Consider the following 23,829-nt stretch of genomic DNA (forward strand, 5'->3'; position numbering starts at 1 on the left):
TTTGTAAATTTTCATTTTTAAAACTGTTGGAGAGGATATGTGGAGGATAGATATATGATAAAGCAAGCATAGCAAAATGTTAATGAGAATCCTAGGCAGTGGGTAATTGGATGTTCACTGTAAAATTCTTTGAATTTTTCTGTATGTTTGAAAACTTTCATATTAAACTGTGGGGGCAAAAAACTTGAAAAAAAAATCACAACTTGGTATCCTCCCCTACCATTCCCAATCCATCTTACTGTGCTCTACTTTTTATTTTTTTCCATGGCACTTATCACCATATACACAGCAGGTGTATATGCTGAATAATGTTGTTTTCTTCAACATCATTTTGTTTTAACATTGATGAGGGGGAAAAAAAAACAACTAAAACGATTCCTGGCCAGAGCCACTGTCTGTGTGGAGTTTGCACACTCTCCCCATGTATGTGTGGGTTTTCTCGGGTATTCCAGGGTACTGCGCTTCCTCCCACATCCCAGTGCACGTTAGGTGAATTGGCGTGTCTAAATTGTCCCAGTGTGAGTGAGTGTGGGTGTGTATGTGAGCGCACCCTGTGATGGAATGGCATCCTGTCCAGGATTGGTTCCTGCCCTGTACCCTGAGCTGCTGTGATAGGCTGTGGCCACCCTTGACCCTGAACTGAAATAAGCAGATTGAAAAATGAATGAATGGATGGATGGATGGATGGATGGATGGATACAAAGTACTGTAAAATAAAAATTTGTCAAGTAGTTGATAATCATACAAATGCACAATAAACTATGAGGTAAGAAAGTGCTCATCGAGCTCACCATATTCGTGATTGTTTGCTTTTGAACTGCATGGTGGTAGGGAGGTGCTCCTTACAATTTTCGCTTTGCATACATTTATTCCTTGATTCAACCCACCACCACTTCCACTGCTGTCACTCACTGGTTCACCAAAGGTTAGGTAATTATTTACTTGTTTTCATTAATCTTTCTATATGTATGCATAGCTCATATTTATTTCAATGTTCAATATCAGAAGTGTTTTGGGTCTTTATTTGGAAGCTGGGTGATGTTTTGTGACCAGAAATATGCTGTAGGAACTTAGCTCTTGTTTATATTAATTAGCCTGTGGTAAAATTGGTTTTGTTATACGTTGTTTCACTTAGTCCCAGTTGCCAAGGACCTACCAATGATGTTAAATGAGGACCTACTGTACTACATAATTCACTTATTTATTGTGTTTATTTTTGTCTGTGTCCTCTCACTAGGAGGTAAGCTCCCCAAGGGCAGGGATTTGTTCTGTTTGTTCTGTTTTATTTTGTTTCCTGCTATATCCCCAAATCCTACAACAGTGTCTGGCACACAGCAAGTGTTCCACGCATATTTGTTGAATTAAGAATGAATCTCTGAGGGCCGGGCACAGTGGATCACACCTGCAATCCCAGCACTTTGGGAGGCCAAGGTGGGTGGATCACTTGACGTCGGGAGTTCGAGACCAGCCTGGCCAACGTGATGAAACCCCATCTCTACTAAGAAAATACAAAAATTAGCCGGGCGTGGTGGCAGGAGCCTGTAGTCCTAGCTACTAGGGAGACTGAGAGGCAGGAGAATCGTTTGAACCTGGGAAGCTGAGGTTGCAGTGAGCTGAGATCACGCCACTGCACTCCAGCCTGGGTGACAGAATGAGAATCCATCTCAAAAAAAAAAAAAAAAAAAAAAAAGAACCTCTGTATCCCTAATACCTAGGTCAAGGTCTTGCACAGAGCAGGTGCTCAATGAATATTTGCTGAATTGAACTGAGATGTAAATTCTGCAGGAGAACTTAGAATAGACCTGTCGTACTAGAGTGGTTCACAGCGTGGACTCTGGAGTCAAATAATCAGGATTTGCATCCTGATTCTGTCACTTCCAGCTGTGTTACCTAGCTGTGTTAACATCTTTGAGCCTCAATTTCTCATTGGTAAAATGAAGATAATAATAGCATCAGCTTGGTAGGATTTGGGTTTGCGTGTTATGCACTTAGGACTTTGTAAAGACCCAATAATTGGTAGCTAAAAACAAAACAAGAACTGCAAAAAAGATAGTCTTTCTTGTATGTCATCCTTCCTCCATTCCCCCGACAAGCTGAGCCAGGAGAGGGTAAGGAGATGTCCTTGGACAAGTATTCCTAAGCTCTATTCCAGACCCATAGAAGGGTTTCTCTCTCTTCAAATCCCTTCTTACCTTTTCACCTGTCCTGGACTTTCATCTTGATATCCTGAAGTTCCTTCCCCCATCATAACCATGCAGGGGTGGAGTGGAGGAGATAGGGGTTTGTGGGCCAGGGACAAGGACTTAGAGCTTTCTGTTAATCCCTGTTCTAGGGTTGAGTTCTTTACTGGTGATGGTAGAAGGTCAAGTGTGAGGTCACAGTAATTTCAGGGCCTAGAGACTGAGAGAACAATAGTCTTGTGTAGGAGGCATTGACAGGACAGCGGGCCTCATATGCTGCCTTCTTCTTTGGTCCCCTGTAAGAGAAAGCACCTCCCTCACCCTGCTCCAACGTCCTTTCTGTCCATCCTGCTACCTCGTCTTTACTTCTGGTGGCCCCAGCTCAGAGCAAGCCTGGGGACCCATTGAACATCTCCCTGCAACTCCCTCTTGGAAGTGGGGTGGGGTGGAGTGGGCAGAGGACAGGCTAAAACTGGCGATATAAGGGCACAAGATCGGGTGCCTGAGCTTTCTGGTGGCCCACGTCCTCTGCCCCCGCCCTTAGAGCCAACAGTTCCCTAGAGATTGGGGGAGCTGGGGCTGAGCCTGGGGGCGCCGCTGCCTCTGTTCCTTTAAGTAGCCGCTGTTTAGCATTCCTGCCGCCGCCGCTGCCGCTGCCGCTGCCTGCCTCTGCGCGCTGATTGGCTGGAATCAACTGAGAAGGGAGCCAGGGAGAGATGCTCTTGACTCCACTCAGATCCATCCTGGGGACCAGAGCAGAAGCGGTCCTCACAGCACCCATTCTCTGCTTGAGCTCCCGCTTCTTCTTTGCCGCTGGGCCTCGGCCCAGAAGCCACGACGGGCGACACGGAGCCGCCAGTGCTGGAGGGGGAGCCGTGGGTGCGGGGCAGCGTGGGGGCCGAGGCCCCGGGACGCCCGCCCGGCCCCAGGCCCCGCTCAGCCCGGGCGCCCCCACGGGTGCCCCCCCCTTCTTGGTCCGAGCAGTGTGAGTGTGCCAGGGAGCCCGGCGGCGGCGGCGGCGGTGGTGGCGGCGGTGGCGGCGGCGTGGAATCCGGCGTGGGCTGGGGGGTCCGAGCCGCGGGGGGCAGTGCCATGCACAAGCACCAGCACTGCTGTAAGTGCCCTGAGTGCTATGAGGTGACCCGCCTGGCCGCCCTGCGGCGCCTCGAGCCTCCGGGCTACGGCGACTGGCAAGTCCCCGACCCTTACGGGCCAGGTGGGGGCAACGGCGCCAGCGCGGGTTATGGGGGCTACAGCTCGCAGACCTTGCCCTCGCAGGCGGGGGCCACCCCCACCCCTCGCACCAAGGCCAAGCTCATCCCCACCGGCCGGGATGTGGGGCCGGTGCCTCCTAAGCCAGTCCCGGGCAAGAGCACCCCCAAACTCAACGGCAGCGGCCCCAGCTGGTGGCCAGAGTGCACCTGTACCAACCGGGACTGGTATGAGCAGGTATGGACCAGCGGAGGGGGGAGCGGTGGGGCAACCCAGGAGGGCTGGAGAGTGGGGGCCTAGAGGCCTGGGATGCAGTAGGGGTCGCTGGGGCTCCAAGCCTGTGGACCCCGAGCCCTAGCATTGCAGCTGGGCAAAGAGAGGCGGTGGGAAATGTGTGGTTCCCTGTGTGTGTCTGTTTGGGGGTCTCCATTAGAAGACTGGGAGGAGCCGTGTGTCAGGGGGTAAGGGCATGGCGGAGGGGCACATTTTCCTGTGTGGGGGAATTGGGTTTGTCTCAGTGTGGGGGTTTGGCAATGTCTCTGTGTCTGGCAGGGGGCGGGAGGTTCTGCGGGGGCTGTGTGTGGTGTGTGTCTCCACCGGAGGGGAGGGGAGGGGGCATGGTGCTCTGCGTAGGGGGGACATATGTGTGTGTATGTATGTTGGGGTGTGTGGAGGAAGGCAATGGAGCTGCCGTGAATCCGTGTGGAGGAGCCCATGTGCCCGGCTCGCTGAGCTTCATCCCTTGATGCCATGAGTCCCTCTCCGTCCCAGTCCCTTTGTGTGTGAATGTGCACATGGATGTGTGGAGATGTCACTCTGAATGTGGAGAGGTCTCTGTAGAGGAGGCTGCAGGGATGGCTGTGTTTGTGTGTGTGGCTACATGTATATGTGTGTGAGCATGTGGCTGCAAGAGTGTGCACGCGTGTGCCTGGTGTGTGTGTGTGAGTGTGTGTTTGTATGTGTTGTCTCTGGTGAGAGGCGCTTGACAGGCAAGGGAGGGGAGAGGAAGGAGGCGAGAGACATGTCCCAAGCAAGGCTGAGAGGCTGCTGAGAAGGACGGACTCTTTTGTCCAAGCAGCTCTGTAGTGTGTGTGCCGGGGTGGGGTGGCGGGGGGCGGGGGGAGATTTGAAGGAACTGAAGCAAGCCTCCTCGCTCTAGAGCAGGCATGGTGCCTGGAGCCGGCAAGGGGCAGCTGCCCTGGTGCAGAGACTGGCCCCAGTGGGGCATGTCCCCCTTGGGTACCTCCAGATGTGAGAGGGCTTAGCCCCCCAGCCCTGACTTGGCACAGCTTGGGAGCCCCTGGGTGCTGGGCACAACTCCGGCTTCCACTCCCAGCCTAAACTGCCAGCTTAGAAAATGGAAGGAGCATCTGTGGGAGAAGCAGCAAAATGGAGGCTGGGCTGGCAGAGCCAGGTCCCTGGCACGCAAGGCGGAGGGCCTGTCTGGTTATCCGGCTCTGCAGCTCCTAGGGTGGGGAGAGAGGAAGAGGAGGCTTTGCTGTCGAGGGCAGGTGATGACTTCCCCAAGCTGGTGACCGTTCTGGCTGCCTCTGTCCTCTGGGGATAGGATGTGCTCTCACTCAGAGGCAAAGGTGGGGACTTCCTGGGGAGAAGAGCCCTCAGTTCTGGCCTTCTGTCTGTCCACACTTACTGCTTTCCCACATCCCTTGCCTTGGCCTCTTGCCCTTTCCAGCGAGTCCCTCTCTCTCCTTTGCCCCCTCTCTGTCCTGGAGGCCTTTCTCTCGCAAACACCCTCTTATGCTTGTCCTGCCCGGCTGGGAGACAGGTGGCAATCCCAGGCTGGGCCAGTTGGCCAAGGTTTCTTTGCCAGGGCTGATCCCTGGATGGCTCCTGGCCCTGAGAACAAGGTCCTTGAGTAGGGGTGGGGGCTAGAGCGTGGACCACTGGGAACGGGAAGCCTCTGGGTACCACTGGGGCTGGGCTTGAGGCATGGCTTGTCACATGTGGGCACACATGGTACACCAAATGCACACAAGAGCCACATGGGTGTCCCTTTGCTTATGTGTCTGTTGCATGGTACTTAAGGCAGCTGTGTTGGTTTCGGGTCTCTAAGGAGCCTTCAGTTCTTCTTCCTGGGGTCACAGACCAGGGTAAGGCTGTAGCTGGAGTCCTCCCACCAACTCCCACAGCTGCAGAGCCAGCCCAGAAATGGTGGAGGCATGATGAGCTAGTCCTCTCTCCCTCTCCTCCTCTCTGCTTCTTGAAGCCAAAGCTGTGTGGGGTGGAGGTGGGACGGGGGAAGCACAGCAGGACATGTGGAGGAGCCCCCACCCTGGTTTCCAGCTCCCCACTTCTGAGGAGGAGGCTAGAGGTCAGGGAAGGGACAACATAGCCAGAGAAAGGTGGGGGAGGGGTGCCAGGGTACCTGGGGAGACAGGCAAGAGGGCTTCTCCATTCTTGGAGGTGAAAGTGGGAGCCAGCAGGCAGGTGCTGCTTGTATGTCCAGAATCACATTTTCACTTGACAAATAGATACACACATGTCCTGTCTGGGAGGCCATCTCTGTGGGTTGGCCAAATCACCCCTGTGTTTCTGACCCCTTCCCTTGCCTCTTCTTGCATGGCTACTACATATTGAAAACCATGGACTCTGCTGCCAATCAGCCTGTGGGTCACCAACTTCTCCCTCATGGGGAATCTTGTCTACCCTGCTCCAGTCCCACCCGTGGCTTTGTCTCTGACTCCTGACCAGATCCCACCCTCGCCCTTTCTGCTGGGAAAAACAAAGGGCTCAGAATCAAAAATCCTTTGGTAGAAAATGGATTAGGACTTTGACTCCTTCTGCCTATTTGAGGAATTGGGTTCCTGGAGTCCAAGAAAGAGGTATAGAGTGAAGACTCACGAGGTGCTCCAAAGTGGGGCAACTGTCCTTTTTCCCATGAGCTCTGCTGGGGTACGGGGATGAGTGACCAAAACATCAGTGGCCTTAAGAGCTTACTGTAATCAAAAGAACACCTGGATATCCTATTGCTCTGTCACTAATTCCCAGTGTGCCCTTAGGCACATCCCATGTCTTCTCTGGGCCTCCGTGTCACCTACTGTCACATAAAGGGGATAGGACAAGATGATGTCTGCTGTCCTTCCAGTTCGGACACAGTGGGAGTCTATGATCCCCCAGTCAGGGAGAACTGTGGTTCAGAAGGGGAAGGGTTATCTGTCTAGGCCACTGGGTATCCCCTATGGACACTGGGTGTGGCATGGTTTGCCTGCCATGCTCCATCTCTGCCATCCCCCTTAGGCCAGGCCTGCACCCCTCCTAGTGAACCCTGAGACACTGAAGCACAGCCTCTCGGTGAGTGCACCACTGGCTGGCTCAGTCTCAGACAATTGATCTGGGCTAAATGAGCAGCTTGGTTTGGGCTGATATGGTTGGAAGCAAAGCAGGGATTGGTGGGGTGAGTGAGGAGCGGCCTCTTCCAGGTCAGCCTGTCCTCATCTGTGGCCAAGAGGTGACCTGGGGTGCACTTGGGCTCTTCTACTCTGTGGGAGTAGGGGAGGAGGCAGGTTGACTAAGGGGCAGATGGCTGGAAGGGCAGGGGGCACTAAGGGAACTGCCTGTGTCTCCCCCTAGGTGAATGGCAGTGATGGCATGTTCAAATATGAGGAAATCGTACTTGAGAGGGTGAGTCTGCCAGTGGGGAAAAGCGGAAAGGGAAGGAGAGGGTTGGAGCCAGGATAAGGGAGACCCCTGAATCATGGTTTCAAGACCCATGGGGGGACCTGCATTTAGAGGATGGTGAAACAGCGGCCCTCAGAGGCTGCTTCACTGCATCAATCAATCAACCCACTAACAAATATTAATTGACCTTGCTCACTGAGGCCTGGGGAATTGGGGAGGGGATGGGTTTCCCAAAATGATCAGCAGAGGCTGGGTGTCTGACAAATGTGCCCAGCCTGCCATGGCCCCTTCTGAGGCCTGGAGAACTAGCTCTGGGATATAAGGGGAGATGAGGTACCCAGAACTCTCCTTTGTGCCCTCAGAGTGAACAGACTGTGCCTTTCCACCCACTTCTGCAGGGCAACTCTGGCCTGGGCTTCAGTATCGCAGGTGGCATCGACAATCCCCATGTCCCTGATGACCCTGGCATCTTTATTACCAAGATTATCCCTGGTGGAGCAGCTGCCATGGATGGGAGGCTGGGGTGAGATGGCCTGGAAGCAGGGTTGTGGGTGGCAGGGACAGGATCGAGATGAGGGGAGGAAAGCCTGCCTGGCAGGATGACCCTTCCATTAGATCTGAGGGCGGGGTGGGAGGGCAGAGGAGGGGAGGACAGAGAAGTGGGAGGAAGCAGGAGAGGGGGTGGAGGGGTAGGGGCACAGTGTCATGCCTCTCGGGCTTCCCCCACAGGGTGAATGACTGTGTGCTGCGGGTGAATGAGGTGGACGTGTCGGAGGTGGTACACAGCCGGGCGGTGGAGGCGCTGAAGGAGGCAGGCCCTGTGGTGCGATTGGTGGTGCGGAGGCGACAGCCTCCACCCGAGACCATCATGGAGGTCAACCTGCTCAAAGGGCCCAAAGGTGCGGCCCTCCAGGTTCCTGTGCTCCAGCCAGAGCCTTAGGCCCCAGATCCCATCTTGCCCCATAGGGAATTGGAAGGGAATGGCCTTACTCCTTGCCTGACTCCCCCTGTTCCAACTCACAGCCTACTTTTTTGACCTCAGGCCTCACCCTTACTCATCTCAGGATGGCAGCTTAGCGTTTGGATCCCCCGGGGGGAGCTCCTGTGGGGCCAGTGGGTTGGCTGGGGGAGGGGGTTTGGATTTGGGATCGACAACACTTTAACCTCTCCTTGTGGCCCTCTCCCACCTCCTGCTGGCTCCCGCTCAGGCCTGGGTTTCAGCATTGCTGGGGGTATTGGCAACCAGCACATCCCAGGAGACAACAGCATCTACATCACCAAGATCATTGAGGGGGGTGCTGCTCAGAAGGATGGACGCCTACAGATTGGGGACCGGCTGCTGGCGGTGAGACAGACTTCATGGGGATGCCCAAATGGTAGGGTAGGGAGGAGGAGCTCCAGTACCCCTTACTCCGCCTAAACCTCACTCAGGGATGAGGCATCATGGGGGAATTTCAAGAGTTATCATCTGTGTTGTGTTTGCCCAGATACAAAGGCCCTAATTCTTTCTGTGGCCAGGGTCTTGCCCTATCCCCTACCTCCTGCCTCTGCTCCTCACAGCACTATACTTGGGCCTTTGTTAGCATGCTGTTGAATTTCACTGAAAAGGCATCCCTCGAGTTCCCTGGAGAAGCCTCTCCTTCTTCCAAGTCCCAGCCTGAGGCCTCTCCTCTTCTAGGTGAACAACACCAATCTGCAGGATGTGAGGCACGAGGAAGCTGTGGCCTCACTGAAGAACACATCTGATATGGTGTATTTGAAGGTGGCCAAGCCAGGCAGCCTCCACCTCAACGACATGTACGCTCCCCCTGACTACGCCAGCAGTACGTACTCATCAGCCCCTGTCCCTGGTCTAAAGCTCTGTCCCCTGGTTTCTGGAGGGGAAGAAGTTCATACCCTTTGTTAAGAGAGGGCAAGCAGCTTTGCTCAGTGGTGGCACTGTAGCAGCCAATAAGGTTTATCTGAGGCGCCATTATTGCTAATTGAAAACTTTGCTCAGTACCCCATCGTGAAGACTTGCCATAGAGTCAGCATTGGCAATTTTTGACAATTTCTATGGAGAGTGAATTTTAAAAAGAGGAGAGAGAGAAGCCGCAGAGGATAGTGCACAGAACTGAGTCCAGATCCCAGTTCTGTCTTTGTTTTTTTGTTTGTTTGTTTGAGACGGAGTCTTGCTCTGTCGCCAGGCTGGAGTGCAGTGGCACGATGTCAGCTCACTGCGAACTCCACCTCCTGGGTTCAAGCAATTCTCCTGCCTCAGCCTCCCGAGTAGCTGGGATTACAGGTGCCTGCCACCATGCCTGGCTAATTTTTTGTATTTTTAGTAGAGACGGGGTTTCTCCATGTTGGCAAGGATGGTCTCGATCTCCTGACCTCGTGATCCACCCACCTCGGCCTCCCAAAGTGCTGGGATTACAGGCTTGAGCCACCGTGCCTGGCCCCCAGCTCTGTCCCTTAGAGCTGGGTGCCCTTAGACAAGTCCCTTTCACCTGTTTTTTGTTTCCTCTTTGGCAAAAGGGAGCTAATGATGTATGTGCTGCCTTCCTCATAGGACTGCTGCAAGGATCAAATGAGATCATGGATGAGAAAACCCTTGGAAAACTGTATTAGGCTATAGAGATGTGAGGGATTATTATTAGTCACACCTCTAGTCATGCCTTTCTTTGTAGACTGCCTTGACTTCAGCTCTTTCTAAGACTCACAGGAGTGAGCCAAGGATTTAGAAAGGGACTGCGGAGGAGGAACCCTGGGTGGCGGGTGGATGGAGTGGGGAGGTGCGGCCTGAGGAATCAGCATCCCTTGGTCTCTTTTGCATCTGAAGTGGGGTGTGGGGGAAAGTCCTTGAGGAGTTTGGGGTACCTCCCTGGACCAGTCTCTGAACTTTTCTCTCCCTTTCTTGATTCCAGCTTTTACTGCCTTGGCTGACAACCACATAAGCCATAATTCCAGCCTGGGTTATCTCGGGGCTGTGGAGAGCAAGGTCAGCTACCCTGCTCCTCCTCAGGTTCCCCCCACCCGCTACTCTCCTATTCCCAGGCACATGCTGGCTGAGGAGGACTTCACCAGGTAAGACCCCGCCCCCAACATCCCATTCAATCTACCCAGAAATTGGGGAGGGGAGGAATCCGTTTCTGGCCGGCCACAGGCTCCTTGTAGTATGGCAAAGAAGAGGATAAGGCCCTCATCACTCCCGGCTTTGGGGTCCGAGGCCCTCTCTCAGGCCTTGGGGACCTAGAGAGGGACAGAAGTGGCTGCAGGGACAAGCTCTACCATCAGGGGGAGTGCCGAGTGAGTGGCCCCGGTCCAAAAGTGCAGATAAAGAAAGGATGGGGTGGAGCGTTTAGGGGGCTGAGGAGGCGAGGGCAGCGGAGTTTCCTGCCCTGAGATAGTTGCAGCCCGCTCTGCTGCAACCATTTCAAATTAGAGAAGAAAGCAGTTCAGCCGGTGGGGCTGGCGGGACTCTGACCGGCCCGGTGGCCTCGCCGGCAACGGCCCCGCCCCGCTGGCGGCAGCGGCGGCGGCAGCGGCTGCGCGGGGCCTGGAACTGGTCGGGCCGGCTGGGGTTCCGGGGGACAGGTTTGCAGGGTGGGGCCCGAGAGGCTGGCGGGCAGGCAGCAGTGGAGCCGGAAGGGTAGGCAGCCAGGGGAGAGAGAGAGGAGCTATGGAGAGGGCCCGCAAGTTCTCGGGCTCCGGCTTGGCCATGGGCTTGGGCTCCGCCTCCGCTTCGGCCTGGAGGAGGGCTTCGCAGAGGTGGGCCTGGCCGCTCCGCTCCCTGCGGCCCGGAGGGGATGCCAGGTAGGAGTGGAGGGCTAGGAGCAAGAGCATCCGGGACTCAGGGAGGGAGTCTCGCCCCTGAGACTGGGAGCAAGAAAGGAAGAGTCTTGCGTGGGGCTTTGGGCTCCTCCGAGGAAAGATGCTTGTAACAAGTGAAGGCGGTGGGCCGGGAACGTGCCCTGGGAGTTGGGCGGATGACACTGTGACCTTTTACAGAGGGCTTCCTTAGATGTGGTTAGTTTTATTCGCATTTCTCATGTGCTTGTCTGCTCTCTTCAGTTTGGATTCTAAACTCCTTTTGGGGACCTGGGATCCCCCTAAGAACCCAGGCGCTGCAACCCCCTGGGGCTACATAGTGTTAGCTGCTGATTAAATATGTTGTTGGGGCAGCAGGTAGGAGGGGTCATAGTTGATGGGTGAGATTTTGAGACTGCAGAAGAGTGTCTGTGAAGTAAGTGTGCACATCCTGTGGATGATGAGTGCAGTCAACCCCAGGGTGACTCCACTGCCCCTAACTGCTTCCTCTTCTTGTGGTCCAGGGTCCATCACACGGGTTGGTAGGATAGGAGAATCTGGGAAGGAAGAGGACCAGTGAGTGGGCCTGAGATTTGGTCTCTGGAGTTCAGGGTAGGGATTTGTTCACCCGAGAGAGTAGGGGACTGTCCACTGGGAAGTTGACTGCAAGCCCTCGGGAAGAAGGGAGGGAAGAGGAACTGAAACTTGGCACCTGACAGAACAGCAGCCAAGCAGGTTTCAGGAGACAAAGGGAGGCTCAGGGTATCATACATAGGGAACCACGTCCTTACTCCCTACAGCAAGTATGGACCTTGTTCCAGGCTGGCCCTCAAAGGACAACAGTCCATATCTACCTAGTCCTGACTCCTCCACTCCTTTCCCACCAGAGAGCCTCGCAAGATCATCCTGCACAAAGGCTCCACAGGCCTGGGCTTCAACATCGTAGGAGGAGAGGATGGAGAAGGCATTTTTGTCTCCTTCATCCTGGCAGGAGGCCCAGCTGACCTGAGTGGGGAGCTGCGCAGGGGAGACCGGATCTTATCGGTGAGGAGACAAAGGAGAGGTGGGAGGATGGGAACTGTGCCAGTCTAAAATGGAGAGCGAGAGACCTTACTTCCTCCGAGGAATGCTTCTTGAGATGAAGGGAGGGCTAAGGACTGGAGAAAACTTCTCTTGTTTTTATAGACATCCTTAGTGACAGGGACCGGGACTAGACTTATCTTTGAAGAGGAAATGAATGCCTATTGGATCTTAACCCTGATTGGCATTTGACCTTTATGAAGATAATTGTTACACTAGAGATGTCGTATCCTTTAGGCCTTGTTTTAGGGGCAAGGTTGGAATATTGGGAAAGGCATCTAAACAGGCTTAGGGGTGGGGTACCCATCTCCCTCTCCTAACTGCTAATGCAGAGGACCCTCTTTCTTGCTTTTGGGGTGGCTCACAGCTTCTCTCTTTGGACAGGTGAATGGAGTGAATCTGAGGAATGCAACTCATGAGCAGGCTGCAGCTGCTCTGAAACGGGCCGGCCAGTCAGTCACCATTGTGGCCCAGTACAGACCTGAAGGTAGGAGAAGGGAAGGTGGGAAGAGATGATGTGGGGGAGTTAGACTTATATTATGTGTTGGCTTTTTGCCATCCTAGGTAACAAAGCCACTTGACCAGGTCCCTTCTACCTAGAGCAGTAACCTCTTCCTCTCTCCTTTTCCTGCTGGGTAGGGGTTGGTTTGGGCGGCTTGAAAGCATCAATTAAGGCTGTGCTCAGAGCCTGCTGATGTGGGCTGCAGTGCAGGAGAAGGCCAGTAGTGGGCAGCAGCCTACTGGAAGCAGCATCCAAAGATTAGGGCGACTGGAAAAAGGGGAGGGGGCGGAGGGCCCACAGGAGAAGACTGGGAACTGTGTGCCCTGGAAGAGGAGAGCAGCTCTTGGTTAGAAGGACCTCAGGTAGAAGAGATCCGACCTCTTAAGAGATCTTGGGCCAAACCTCTGTGACCCCCACTCCCCTCCCCTCATCAAGATGACCGTGAAAGACCCATAAACGCGCTGAAAAGGTGATACTATGCCCTTGGGATAGGCCAACTGGAGTCGACTCCCTCCCCTCCGGGGGGCCTTCTTTGTATTCTCAGTGAGCAGTCCTTGGCTGGGGCGAATGGGCGGGGCTGGTCATGCAAATAAAGGCGTTTGATTGGCTGGGGCCAACCGAGGCCCAGGTGCCGAGGTGAGCCGCGGGAAGGCGCGCCCTAGCCTGCGGGCCAGTGGAGTGGCCATTGGCCGGCTGAGGGCGGCCTCCAGCCGCATGCCCCGCCCCCTGACCCAGGAGGAGGGCGGCAGGCGCCCCTCCTTCCCCCCATCGCGCGCCTCAGGCGTCTCCTCCTCCTCCCTCCTTCCCCCTCCTCTCTCCTCCCCTCCTCCCGCGCGCCCCGCTTTGTGTCCGTGGTCTCCCGCGCGGGACGGAGGGACTGGCCGGAGCTGGCGCTTTCTCAGCACTAGATCTGGACTCCGACCCGGCGCCAGGTGAGGTGGGGCGGACGGGGGTCAGGCCCCCTCGCAGTCCCCCCTAACCTCTCTACGGCTCTGTTCTCAGCCTCTTTTCCAACACTGCGTGCCCCAATTCTGCCCTCTCCCTCGAATGCCTTCGTTGCGTGCCCCCAGGCTCCTTCTGAGACCCTCCTCAGGGCCCCTCGGAGCGCCGCGCGGGGCTCAGCGCCCCCTCACCCTACACTGGGCCCAGTCTGGCCTTCACCTCTTAGCCATCACCTCTCCCCCACAGCGAGCTGTGCCCCCTTCTCACCCCAGGGCCTCTGTCCTGCCTCAGCCCCCTTCCTGCTGGCTGCTGCGCCCCCAAGCAGCTCCCTAATCCCTTGCCCTAGAGGAATTTTCTAAATCTTCCCCTCCCCCGACACCCATTTCTCCACCCAACCTGTCCACCTCTGAGAACAGCCGCGACCGGCTTGGTATTCTGCCCCCTCCCTTTTGTTTGCAAGGGATTCGTACCATTCCCGACTTCTTTCGCCTCCTCCTCCCCTTTGTCCCCTAGGGCTGCAGCGCCTGGGCTCCTGGGACACCTAGGCCCTGTGGGCCGATTACTAAGGTGGAAGGGACCGACCTCTCCCTGGCAGGTGCTCTATTTCCGCGATGAGAGGGGGAGAGGCTGGGAGCCCCGTCGCCAAGCCGAAAGGGATGGAAAGCGCCTACCTTTGTCCTTTCCGTTCCCCTCCCCCCATGCTCCTTCAGTGCCTCAAGATCCTGAAGGGAAAGAAGAGAGAGCCTGCGACCTTTTCCACGAGGCTCTTCTGATCGAGGACAGAAGTGCAGGGAGGTAACTCACAGGAGAGAGAGCTTGTTGGTCTGAGGTAATGAGAAAGAGGGATGCAAATGGACACTTTGAGTCATTTCTCTCCTTGTTTGGTTTTCAGCTTACTGATCAGGAACGCACCTTAGGGATATTGTTTTTTTATGATTTATGTGTGTGCTGTTCGCTTTCCAGTACAGAGCTAACCGTCTGATTTTTATTAGCAACTAATATTTGTGCATTTCATGCCCACAACTTAGACAACACAGGTTCTGCAAAGGAAATGGTTTTTCTTGCGTATTTGTGTGTGTATGTTGTAGGAGAAATTGATGTTTCTTTCGGTTTTGCTCTCTGATGTTGGGCACATGGAAACAATACTGTGAATTGTGTGTGGTGGGGGTATGCTGGATACTAGTGACTACATATTTCTATGACTTGTTAGGGGAATGCAACTGGCTTGCATAAAAAGCTGCAGGTTGTCCAGGGTAAGGGGATTCCTGCAGTGTTTATTGCTCTCTGAGCATATTTCTGAGAGTTTATAATGTAGGTTGAGGTGCTGTTTTATGCTAGTTCTTTCTACTACTTGCCAAATAAGGCCTTTCTTCTCTTAGGATTTAGGTGAACCACTGTTGTTAAGGCTCTGCCACCCCAATCAATCTTACTTCCTCCTTTGGTTTGGTAAATCCAGCAAGTCCCCAACATGCAAAAGCTTTTTTTTTTTTCCCCTTTTGAAAACAGATCCCTGGAGACTGGTCCAGAGGGACTGTCAAGCATTCTGTGTTGGGCTCTAAATTTTCTTTGGTAAAGTGCTAGTTTTTAAAAATAAGGACTCCATGTTGATCAATTTATAAACAAGTGTGGTTCTTCAGAGGATTACATCACGGTGGGTATTTACAAAATGAATAATCCAAATACATGTATGTTGGTTGGCAAGAGACCTTGCATGTGATTGGCCAAGTAAGTGTTCATTACTTGAATTTTTTTTTCTTCACGTGAATGTGAGAGCTGGAAAGGATCAAGTGGTCCAATTCTTCATTGTGCATACTGAAACAATGACAAGAGAGCCAAGATATAACTTGTCTAAGAAGGGAAAGTTGCTGAAGGTCAGCATCAGAGGGTCAGCAAATCAGCTTAATCCTGAGGTCTACCAGTTGGGACAGACCATGCTTGTGAACACCTGAGGGACCTAACACCTAGTTAAAAGTGGAGGAGCAACAGGAAGGATACTGGGGAATTAACAGAGGACAGACTAGGAAGAGTGTAAGGGAAAGAAAGATGGATGTGGAGGGGAAGGTTAGAGTGATCTCCATGGTGGCCTCTGAGGCACCTTTGCCAAACCAGTGCAGCCTTTAGCATGAGAGATTTAAAAAATAGGTTTGACTAATAGAACAATCAGAGTAAGACAATTTGTCTCCTTTTTAAAATGGTGTTATTGAGAGGTAAGTCATTTACCATACAGTTTCCTCATTTAGATATATATTTCAGTGACTTTAGGTATAGTTGTGCCTCCATCACCACAGTACGTTTTAGGACTTTTTTTTTTTTTTTGAGACGGAGTCTTGCTCTGTCGCCCAGGCTGGAGTGCAGTGGCACGATCTCGGCTCACTGCAAGCTCTGCCTCCCAAGTTCAAGCGATTCTCCTGCCTCAGCCTCCCCAGTAGCTGGGACTACAGGTGCTCGCCACCACGCCCGGCTAATTTTTTGTATTTTTAGTAGAGACGGGGTTTCACCATGTTAGCCAGGATGGTCTCAATCTCCTGACCTTGTGATCCGCCCGCCTCGGCCTCCCAAAGTGCTGGGATTACAGGAGTGAGCCACTGTGCCCGGCCTAAAACTTTTTGTGTGTGTGTGTGAGACAGTGTCAGGCTCTGTTGCCCAGGCTGGAGTGCAGTAGCACGATCTCGGCTCACTGCAACCTCTGCCCCTCAAGCTCAAGCCATCCTCCCACCTCAGCCTCCTGAGTAGCTGGGACTATAGGTGTGCACCAATACACCTGGCTAATTTTTGTATTTTTTGTAGAGATGGGGTTTCACCATGTTGCCCAGGCTGGTCTTGAACTCCTGGGCTCAAGCATTCTTCCTGCCTTGGCCTCCCAAAGTGCTGGGATTACAGGTGTGAGCCACCATGCCCAGCCTAATTTTTGTATTTTTAGTAGAGATAGGGGTTTGCCATGTTGCCTAGGCTGGTCTTGAACTCCTGAGCTCAAGCAGTCCACCCACCTTGGCCTCTCAAAGTGCTGGGATCACCGCTCCCGGCCTAGAACATTTTCCTTACCCCTCTTCTTTTAATACATAAAAGGTGTGCAAGCATTAGAAAGATGATGGGTTTAGGACAATTGCTTCCTAATGTTCCTCCTCTGGATACTTAGAGGCTGGTGGCAACTTGAGAATGCTCTAACTGTGAGATTCTTTTTTTATTTGTTAATTTATTTGTAGAAACAGGGTCTCACTATATTGCCCAGGCTGGCCTCGAACTCCTGGCCCAAGTGATCCTCCCACCTCGACCTCCCAAAGCACTGGGATTACAGGCGTGAGCCATAATGCCCAGCCAAGATTCTTTCAAATACCTGGTTTGCTTAATGTGGGTTTAACCCATAATGAAGTATAGGAACTGTGTCTTTCTATTTGAACTTTGTATTGTGCCCAGCATGGGTGCTTTACAGGTGTTTTTATGATGAGGCTTTGGAAAATATTAAAATAGAAATAGAAATGCTAAATGATAAGATACCACAGTAAGAGATACTATTTAGTGGTTTCACTCCTGATTGCTCTAAACGGTTATGGACACAGCAATCCTACCTATTAGCTAAAAATAGCATGATGTTCTTGGACATGTATAATACTGCTTAAAATTCAATTGAAAATTTAAACAACTGGCTCTTGGCAAAGGCTCTCTTAAAATCTATTCTAAAATGAAAAATATTTTTCTGTGACTTGTGGAATTGTCCCACCAAGGGAAGGATGGGTTATGTGTTAGAACATTTTGAGATCTCCTACATTTTCCCCGTAGTGACTTTATATCAGCCTCTGTTTATAAACTGATCTAGTATTTTTCTTGAAAGCCCTTTTGTTTTTAGAGTAGAAACTGATCTCAAAAACAGGAGGTGAGCCAGAAATTGGTCATTAAGGTAGCTTAACTGGGAAATGATCCTTTATGACCAGTCTTTTCGGGAATGTAAATCCAGGCAGGCTGGGGGTACAAGGAGTGAGAGAGAATGAGAGTATTTCTGTAAGTTATTTTAAGGTGCTGAATAAGCATACTTTTACCATGGAAACACCTTTGGGTAAGGCCTGGAAGAGTTAGAAATCAGTGGTGTTAATAACTTGAAAGCATAAAAGGGATATTTTCCCCATAACATTTAAGTAACCATTCTATCTCCCCCTTTTTGAGAATGAAGGATGTAAATGTAACTGCTATCCTATCAGCATTGAAAGCACAAAGGTGAGAGTATACCAAGGCAGGGAGTCAAAGTTCTGAAATTCCCGTTGTCATCCTAAAAGAAGGCAAGGTAAGGAAGAAAGAAAATGATTTCCTATCAGCAGCATTTGTACACTGTGAACAATTTGAAGGCAGCTAGTATTACATTTATCTTTGTGTCCCCAGCGTCTAGTATGGAGCCTGGCAAATAGTTTGTTGAATTATTATCTCTGTTTCAGATAACTTTTATAAGCATTAATCTTCAGAATATCCCTGTGGATTAGGTGGCATTATCCCCATTTTACAAATGAGGAAAGTGAGGGTCAGAGTGGTTGAGTGACTTGCTCAGGGTCACACAAGTCTGTAAGGGACAGAATAAAAGTTTGAGTACAGATTTCTGGAGAACTTCTTTGAGTCCAGGGCTTTTGTCACCAGGCCACAACTATCTCCCTACCCAGAGACATCTGGCTACAGCAGAAGATATCACTCTGAGACTCTTCAAGTGCCAGAAGCTGTCAACAAATGCAGTATAAATGAACTCCCAGGCCGGGCGCGGTGGCTCACACCTGTAATCCCAACACTTTTGGAGGCCAAGGTGGGTGGATCACGAGGTCAAGAGATCGAGACCATCCTGGCCAACATGGTGAAATTCCATCTCTACTAAAAATACAAAAATTAGCTGGGTGTGGTGGCATGCGCCTGTAGTCCCAGCTACTCAGGAGGCTGAGGCAGGAGAATCGCTTGAACCCGGGAGGTGGAGGTTGCAGTGAGCTGAGATCGTGCCACTACACTCCAGCCTGGTGTCAGAGCTGAGACTCTGTCTCAAAAAAAAAAAAAAAAAAAAAAAAACTCCCAAATCTCAGCTTTTTAGTCTTGATGACCATAAACAGGAAGAAGTAACTTGAGGGTAGATGGCCTGCTGGGAAGCCTGAGGGAGATCCCTTCTCAGGCAGAAGGAAAGTGGATTTAGGAAGACTACCAGGGAATGATACTGTTGGGGGAACCCCAGGAGGAGCCAAAAGATGGGAGTTGGTTTGCCTGACTTAATAGTAAACGTGTGCAGGCTTAAGGATATTAATGGAATAAGCAAGCATTCATTTTTTAATTCTTCAAGTGAAATGGAGTTGTATTTGTCATTCATTTTTTATGACCTTACGATTCATTCATTTAAGAGTATACTTAAGCGGTTTTTAGAATGTTCACAGAGTTGTGCAGCCATCACCACAATTGATTTTAGAATTTTAATCACCCCTGTACGCTTTAGCTGTCACCCTTCATCTCCCCATCCCCCTCATGTCTAAGCAACCACTAATCTATTATACTTTTTGTCTCTATGGATTTGCCCAATCTGGACATTGCATATAACTAGATTCATATAATATGTGACTGGCTTCTCTCACTTAGCATAATATTGTCAAGGTTCATCTGTGTTGTACATGTATCAATACTTCATTCCTTTTTATAGCTGAATATATATCATTATATGGATATACCACGTATTGTTTATCGGTTGATGGACATTTGGGTTGTTTTCACTTTTTTGCTATTATGAATAATGCTCTGTGAACATCTGTGTGCAAGTTTTTGCATGGACATGTTTATATTTCTCTTGAGTATACATACCTGTGAGTGGAACTGCTGGATCATTTGACAACTCTGACCTTTGGTGGAATGGCCAGGCTGCTTTCCACATTTAGGCTGCAACATTTTACATTCCCACCAGTAGTATGTAAGGGTTCCAATTTCTCCACATCATCCCCAACACTTGTTATTGTAAGTCCTTTTGATTCTAGCCATCCTGGTAGGTGTGAAGTGGTATCTAATTGCGGTTTTGATTTGAATTTTCCCCCATGGCTAATGTTGCACATTTTTCATGTGCTTATTGTTTGCTATTCACTTTTGTTTTGCTTCGTCCCCTGATTTGATTCTCTTGATTCTCTCTCTGTTTCCAAATTGACTTGAGACCAGAGCAAGCCAACTATGTTATTAGGCAACTAGAAAGAACCAGGAAGATAACTACTTCTCACTGCTTTGTGTGCTCGGGGGGTTTAAGGCTTTGGGCGTAGATAATTTTAGCTTAGGAATGCTGATCTGATAAAAATGATAGGGCCCCCCCTTTTTTTTTTTTTTGAGACAGAGTCTCACTCTGTCACCCAGGCTGGAGTGCAATGGCACAATCTCAGCTCACTGCAACCTCCGCCTCCCAGGTTCAAGGGATTCTCCTCCCAAGTAGCTGGGATTACAGTCACCCACCATCATGCCCGGCTAATTTTTGTATTTTTGTAGAGACGAGGTTTCACCATGTTGGCCAGGCTGGTCTTGAACTCCTGACCTCAGGTGATCCGCCCGCCTCGGCCTCCCAAAGTGCTGGAATTATAGGCATGAGCCACCATGCCCAGCCAAGGGCCTACCTTTTTAACAAAAAATTGCTGATTGAGATATAATTCACATGCTACAATGCACTCATTGAAAGGGTACAACAATTTTTAGAATTTTTAGAGTTGTGCAACTATCATCACAATCAATTTTAGAACATATCACCCCAAAAAGAAGCCCTGACCCCATTAGCAATCACTCCTCATCCCCCCCCCACCGCCCCCCCAGCCCTAGGCAACTACCAGTCTACTTTCTGTTTTCATAAAGTTGCCTCTTCTGGCCAGTTCATATAAATGAAATCATGCAGTATGTGGCCTTTTGTGTTTGGCTTTTTTCACTTAGCATAATGTTTTCAAGATTCATGTGTGTTATAGCATGTATCAGTACTTAATTCCTTTTTCTTTCTTTCTTTTTTTTTTTTTTTTTTTTTTTTGAGACAGAGCCTCACTCTGTTACCCAGGCTGGAGTGCAGTGGCATGATCTCGGCTCACTGCAACTTCTGCCTCCCAGGTTCAAGCGATTCTCCTGCCTCAGCCTCCTGAGTAGCTGGGACTACAGATGTGCACCACCATGCCCAGCTATTTTTTGTATTTTTGGTAGCAATGGGGTTTCGCCATGTTAGCCAGGCTGGTCTCAAACTCCTGACCTCAGGTGATCCACCCACCTCGGCCTCCCAGCCTCCCAAAGTGCTAGGATTACAGGCGCGAGCCACCATACCCGGCCACTTGATTACTTTTTATGGCTGAACAATATTTCATCCTATGGTTATGCCACATTTTGTCTATCCATTCTTGAGTTGATGGACATTTGGGTTGTTTCCACCTTTTGACTATTGTGAACACTGCTGCTATGAACATTAATATACAAGTTTTTGTATGAACATGTTTTCAGTTCTCTTAGGTGATATATGCTTAGGAGTAGAATTGCTAGGTCATAGGTAACTTAGTGTTTAGCATTTTTGAGGAACTGTCTGGCTTTTTTTAAAAGTAGCTACACCCTTTTAGGCCCAGCCCTGTTCTATATACTTAGAAAAGAAAAAAAGATTACGTTTTCTTTTCAATTTTGCCCCCTGGAGCTGAACTTCATATGTGTGTGTTTGTTTTGGGCTTTTCTTTATTCTATGTAACCCAAGGACATGGTGCTAGATTTAGTAAAGCACTCTGAATTTAGCTGGTCAGGTGCTTTCTCGTCTTTGTTAGATGGTTTGAGGCAAAATCCTAGGAGCTTTGGTGTCTGTAAAACATCAGTTTTTCCTGATAGGGTAGAATGATTAGAATAACAGTAATGAGAATGAGTTATTTCTTTTTATTTTATTTTATTTTATTTTTTTGAGACGGAGTTTCACTCTTGTTGCCCAGTCTGGAGTGCAGTGGCGCAATCTCAGCTCACTGCAACCTCTGCCTCCTGGGTTCAAGTGATTGTCCTGACTCAGCCTTCCAAGTAGTTGGGATTACAGGCATGTGCCACCATGCCCAGCAAATTTTTTATATCTAGTAGAGATGAGGGTTCATCATGTTGGCCAGGCTGGTCTCGAACTCCTGTCCTCAGGTGATCCACCTGCCTCGGCCTCCCAAAGTGCTGGGATTACAGGCTTGAGCCACTGTGCCAAGCCTGAGAATGAGTTATTTCTTACTTAACTGTAGCTTTTTAGGATTTCTTTTTGGTTTAATATGTTGCTTGTTGAAATCTTGACTCTGATATTGACACTGTTCCTTTGTTTAAAGCTTTAGTCTTATATTGCACAATAGGGTAATTGTTTTTTGTAAAATATATCGGTTTTGCTCCTTTTATGTGAGAATGTATATATGTATGAAATCTATATATATATAAAATCTTGGCAGAGGAGCCAAGGCCCTGGGTTCTGACTTAGAGTAGCTGAATGATCTTAGACTAGTCAACCTTCCTCTTAGGGACTCAATTTTTTGATCTATAAAATGAGGAGACTGTGCAAAATGGTCACTAGTGTGTACCTCAAATTCTGTGTCAGATAAGTGGTAGTGAGTTGTGAATTCAATTTACAATTTCCTATTTGTACCTGGACTCTTTTATTGTTTAAATTAGGGATGGGGTCTTGCTATGTTGCCCAGGCTGGTCTTGAACTCTTGGACTCAAGTGATCCACCCACCTTGGCCTCCCAAAGTGCTGGGATTACAGGAGTGAGCCACTGCACTCAGCCCCTTTTTTAATTTTAATTTTAATTTTATTTTTTTGTATAGAGACAAGATCTTACTATGTTGCCCAGGCTGGTCTTGAACTCCTGGGCTCAAGGAGTCCTTCCACCTCAGCTTCCCAAAGTGCTAAGGTTACAGGTACTGCACCCAGCATAGACTTTTATTTCCTTCCTTCCTTTTTTCTTTTTCCTTTCCTTTCCTTTCCTTTCCTTTCCTTTCCTTTCTCTTTCCTTTCCTTTCTCTTTCCTTTCCTTTCCTTTCTCTTTCCTTTCTCTTTTCTTTTGTCTCACTTTGTCACCCAGGCTGGAGTGCAATGGTGTGATCATGGCTCACTGTAGCCTCAATTTCCTGAGCTCCAGTGATCCTCCCACCTCAGCCTGCCAGGTAGCTGGGACTACAGGTGCATGCTACCACACTGCTAATTTTTGTATTTTTTGTAGAGACTGGGTTTTGCCATGTTGCTCAGGCTGGTCTTGAACTCCTGAGCTCAAGTGATTCCCTCGCCTCCGCCTCCAGCAGTGCTGGGATTACAGGCTTTGAGCCACTACCCCCGGCCAAGACTCACAGTCTTGAGCTAGTAACAGTCTTGCTTATGAGGGTCTTGTCTTCCCCTCTTGAAATGGACTTTTGTTTATTTTTTGCTGAATTTAGGTATCTTTAAAAAAGCAGGCCGGGTGTGGTGGCTCATGCCTGTAATTCCAGCACTTTGGGAGGCCCAGAAGGGTGAATCACTTGAGCCCAGGAATTCGAGACCGGCCTGGCCAAAATGGTGAAACCCCATCTCTACTAAAAATACAAAAATTAGCCAGGCGTGGTGGTACACCCCTGTAATCTCAGCTACTCAGGAGGTTGAGGCAGGAGAATCTCTTGAATCTGGGAGGCGGAGGTTGCAGTGGGCTGAGATGGCACCACTGTGCTAAAAAAGCAAAGGCCCTAGAGATTTTATGATTTTTCTACTTGATGAAATTAAGTGATAAAAAATTTGAGTAGAAAATTAACATATTTTGTATAAATATGTACATTAGGGGCCTAAGTAGACGTCCTTTGGATTTTCAAAAAGGAGAGAATTTTGCAAATTTTGGGTTAAATTCCAGGGTAGATTAAGAGTTGTTTTGTAAATATTCAGAAAAAGAAGTGGTGAGCACTAGGAACTGGTATTGGTTCACCAAGGACAAAAAAGTCTTGTCAGCCTGATCAAATTTTCTTGATGGACAGGGTTACTGGGCTGTAGATTAGGGAAATACGGTAGATGCACTATATCTAGATTTCTGCAAGGCATTCACAAAACTTCTTTGGTCTACTTTTGGATAAGATGGCTGGGTGATAATGGTGATAATATGTTTAACTGGACTTGTCTGGAACTGGTTGAATGAATAGTCCCAGAGGAAAATGATTAATGAAGCCAGGAGCAGTGTGGAGAGAAGTTTCTAGTGCATGTGTGTCCTGGCTTTGTCCTTGAGCCTGTCCTGTTCAGTCTACTTTCCCATTCTCTTCAAATTATATTTTTCTCCTGCATTTAAAAGTATATTACATTTAGATTTGTGGAAAATTGGAAAATACAGAAAAATACAAAGTAAAGTAAATTCAAATCATCTGTAAAACTATATCCAGAGATAACCACTGTTGTATGTGTATATTTCTGTGTATTTCCCTCTAAACTTTTATATATTTATATTACATATATCATATAATATGTTTGTATCTATCTGTTTTAAGAAGGAGATTATTGGCTTTAAGCAGTTTTATGTTCTTC

The 23,829-nt window shown here is 49.8% G+C and overlaps 1 protein-coding gene, 1 long non-coding RNA gene and 1 pseudogene across 18 annotated transcripts in view, besides 4 other annotated features; 2 read left to right on the forward strand and 1 right to left on the reverse strand.

Moving 5' to 3' along the window:
• Nucleotides 2,424–3,210: an enhancer, noted in NCBI's record as "H3K4me1 hESC enhancer chrX:69664203-69664989 (GRCh37/hg19 assembly coordinates)". NCBI's record gives its function as "activates a minimal SCP1, AML or CMV promoter by ChIP-STARR-seq in naive and primed H9 embryonic stem cells {active_cell/tissue: H9 hESC(naive and primed)}" and the evidence as "EXISTENCE:reporter gene assay evidence [ECO:0000049][PMID:30033119]".
• Nucleotides 2,906–23,829, forward strand: part of DLG3 (discs large MAGUK scaffold protein 3) — a 60,656-nt gene continuing 39,732 nt past the window's right edge. For 4 of the 16 annotated variants that reach the window (XM_006724625.3, XM_011530883.2, XM_006724626.3 and 1 more), the window contains exons 1-9: nucleotides 2,906–3,629; nucleotides 6,984–7,034; nucleotides 7,430–7,554; nucleotides 7,761–7,930; nucleotides 8,240–8,376; nucleotides 8,710–8,854; nucleotides 9,938–10,097; nucleotides 11,708–11,864; nucleotides 12,285–12,387. In XM_006724625.3, the coding sequence (XP_006724688.1) occupies nucleotides 3,273–3,629; nucleotides 6,984–7,034; nucleotides 7,430–7,554; nucleotides 7,761–7,930; nucleotides 8,240–8,376; nucleotides 8,710–8,854; nucleotides 9,938–10,097; nucleotides 11,708–11,864; nucleotides 12,285–12,387 (1,405 nt within the window). In that variant the 5' untranslated portion in view covers nucleotides 2,906–3,272. Of the gene's footprint in view, nucleotides 3,630–6,983; nucleotides 7,035–7,429; nucleotides 7,555–7,760; nucleotides 7,931–8,239; nucleotides 8,377–8,709; nucleotides 8,855–9,937; nucleotides 10,098–10,362; nucleotides 10,827–11,707; nucleotides 11,865–12,284; nucleotides 12,388–13,247; nucleotides 13,335–13,857; nucleotides 14,174–23,829 lie in introns of those variants that run through there. The other 12 variants (NM_020730.3, XM_017029322.3, XM_017029323.3 and 9 more) reach the window with 7 other exon arrangements.
• RNU4-81P (RNA, U4 small nuclear 81, pseudogene) lies at nucleotides 8,950–9,093 on the forward strand (annotated as a pseudogene).
• Nucleotides 10,531–10,620: a silencer, noted in NCBI's record as "silent region_20891". NCBI's record gives its function as "represses an Ori minimal core promoter by ATAC-STARR-seq in GM12878 lymphoblastoid cells {active_cell/tissue: GM12878}" and the evidence as "EXISTENCE:reporter gene assay evidence [ECO:0000049][PMID:35858748]".
• DLG3-AS1 (DLG3 antisense RNA 1) lies at nucleotides 11,027–14,065 on the reverse strand. 2 transcript variants are annotated; one of them, NR_109801.1, is made up of 2 exons: nucleotides 14,016–14,065; nucleotides 11,027–11,377 (listed from the first exon to the last, which is right to left on the reverse strand). It is a non-coding gene; the product is annotated as a DLG3 antisense RNA 1 (long non-coding RNA). The 2 variants fall into 2 exon arrangements; NR_046586.1 differs by lacking the exon at nucleotides 14,016–14,065 and adding an exon at nucleotides 13,815–13,897.
• Nucleotides 12,849–13,275: a silencer, noted in NCBI's record as "fragment chrX:69674628-69675054 (GRCh37/hg19 assembly coordinates)". NCBI's record gives its function as "represses an EF-1alpha promoter that drives an FKBP-Casp9 reporter gene in an ReSE screen in K562 erythroleukemia cells {active_cell/tissue: K562}" and the evidence as "EXISTENCE:reporter gene assay evidence [ECO:0000049][PMID:32094911]".
• Nucleotides 13,013–13,242: a silencer, noted in NCBI's record as "silent region_20892". NCBI's record gives its function as "represses an Ori minimal core promoter by ATAC-STARR-seq in GM12878 lymphoblastoid cells {active_cell/tissue: GM12878}" and the evidence as "EXISTENCE:reporter gene assay evidence [ECO:0000049][PMID:35858748]".

Source organism: Homo sapiens, chromosome X (genome assembly GCF_000001405.40).
Source record: "Homo sapiens chromosome X, GRCh38.p14 Primary Assembly".
NCBI classification, from domain to species: domain Eukaryota; kingdom Metazoa; phylum Chordata; class Mammalia; order Primates; family Hominidae; genus Homo; species Homo sapiens.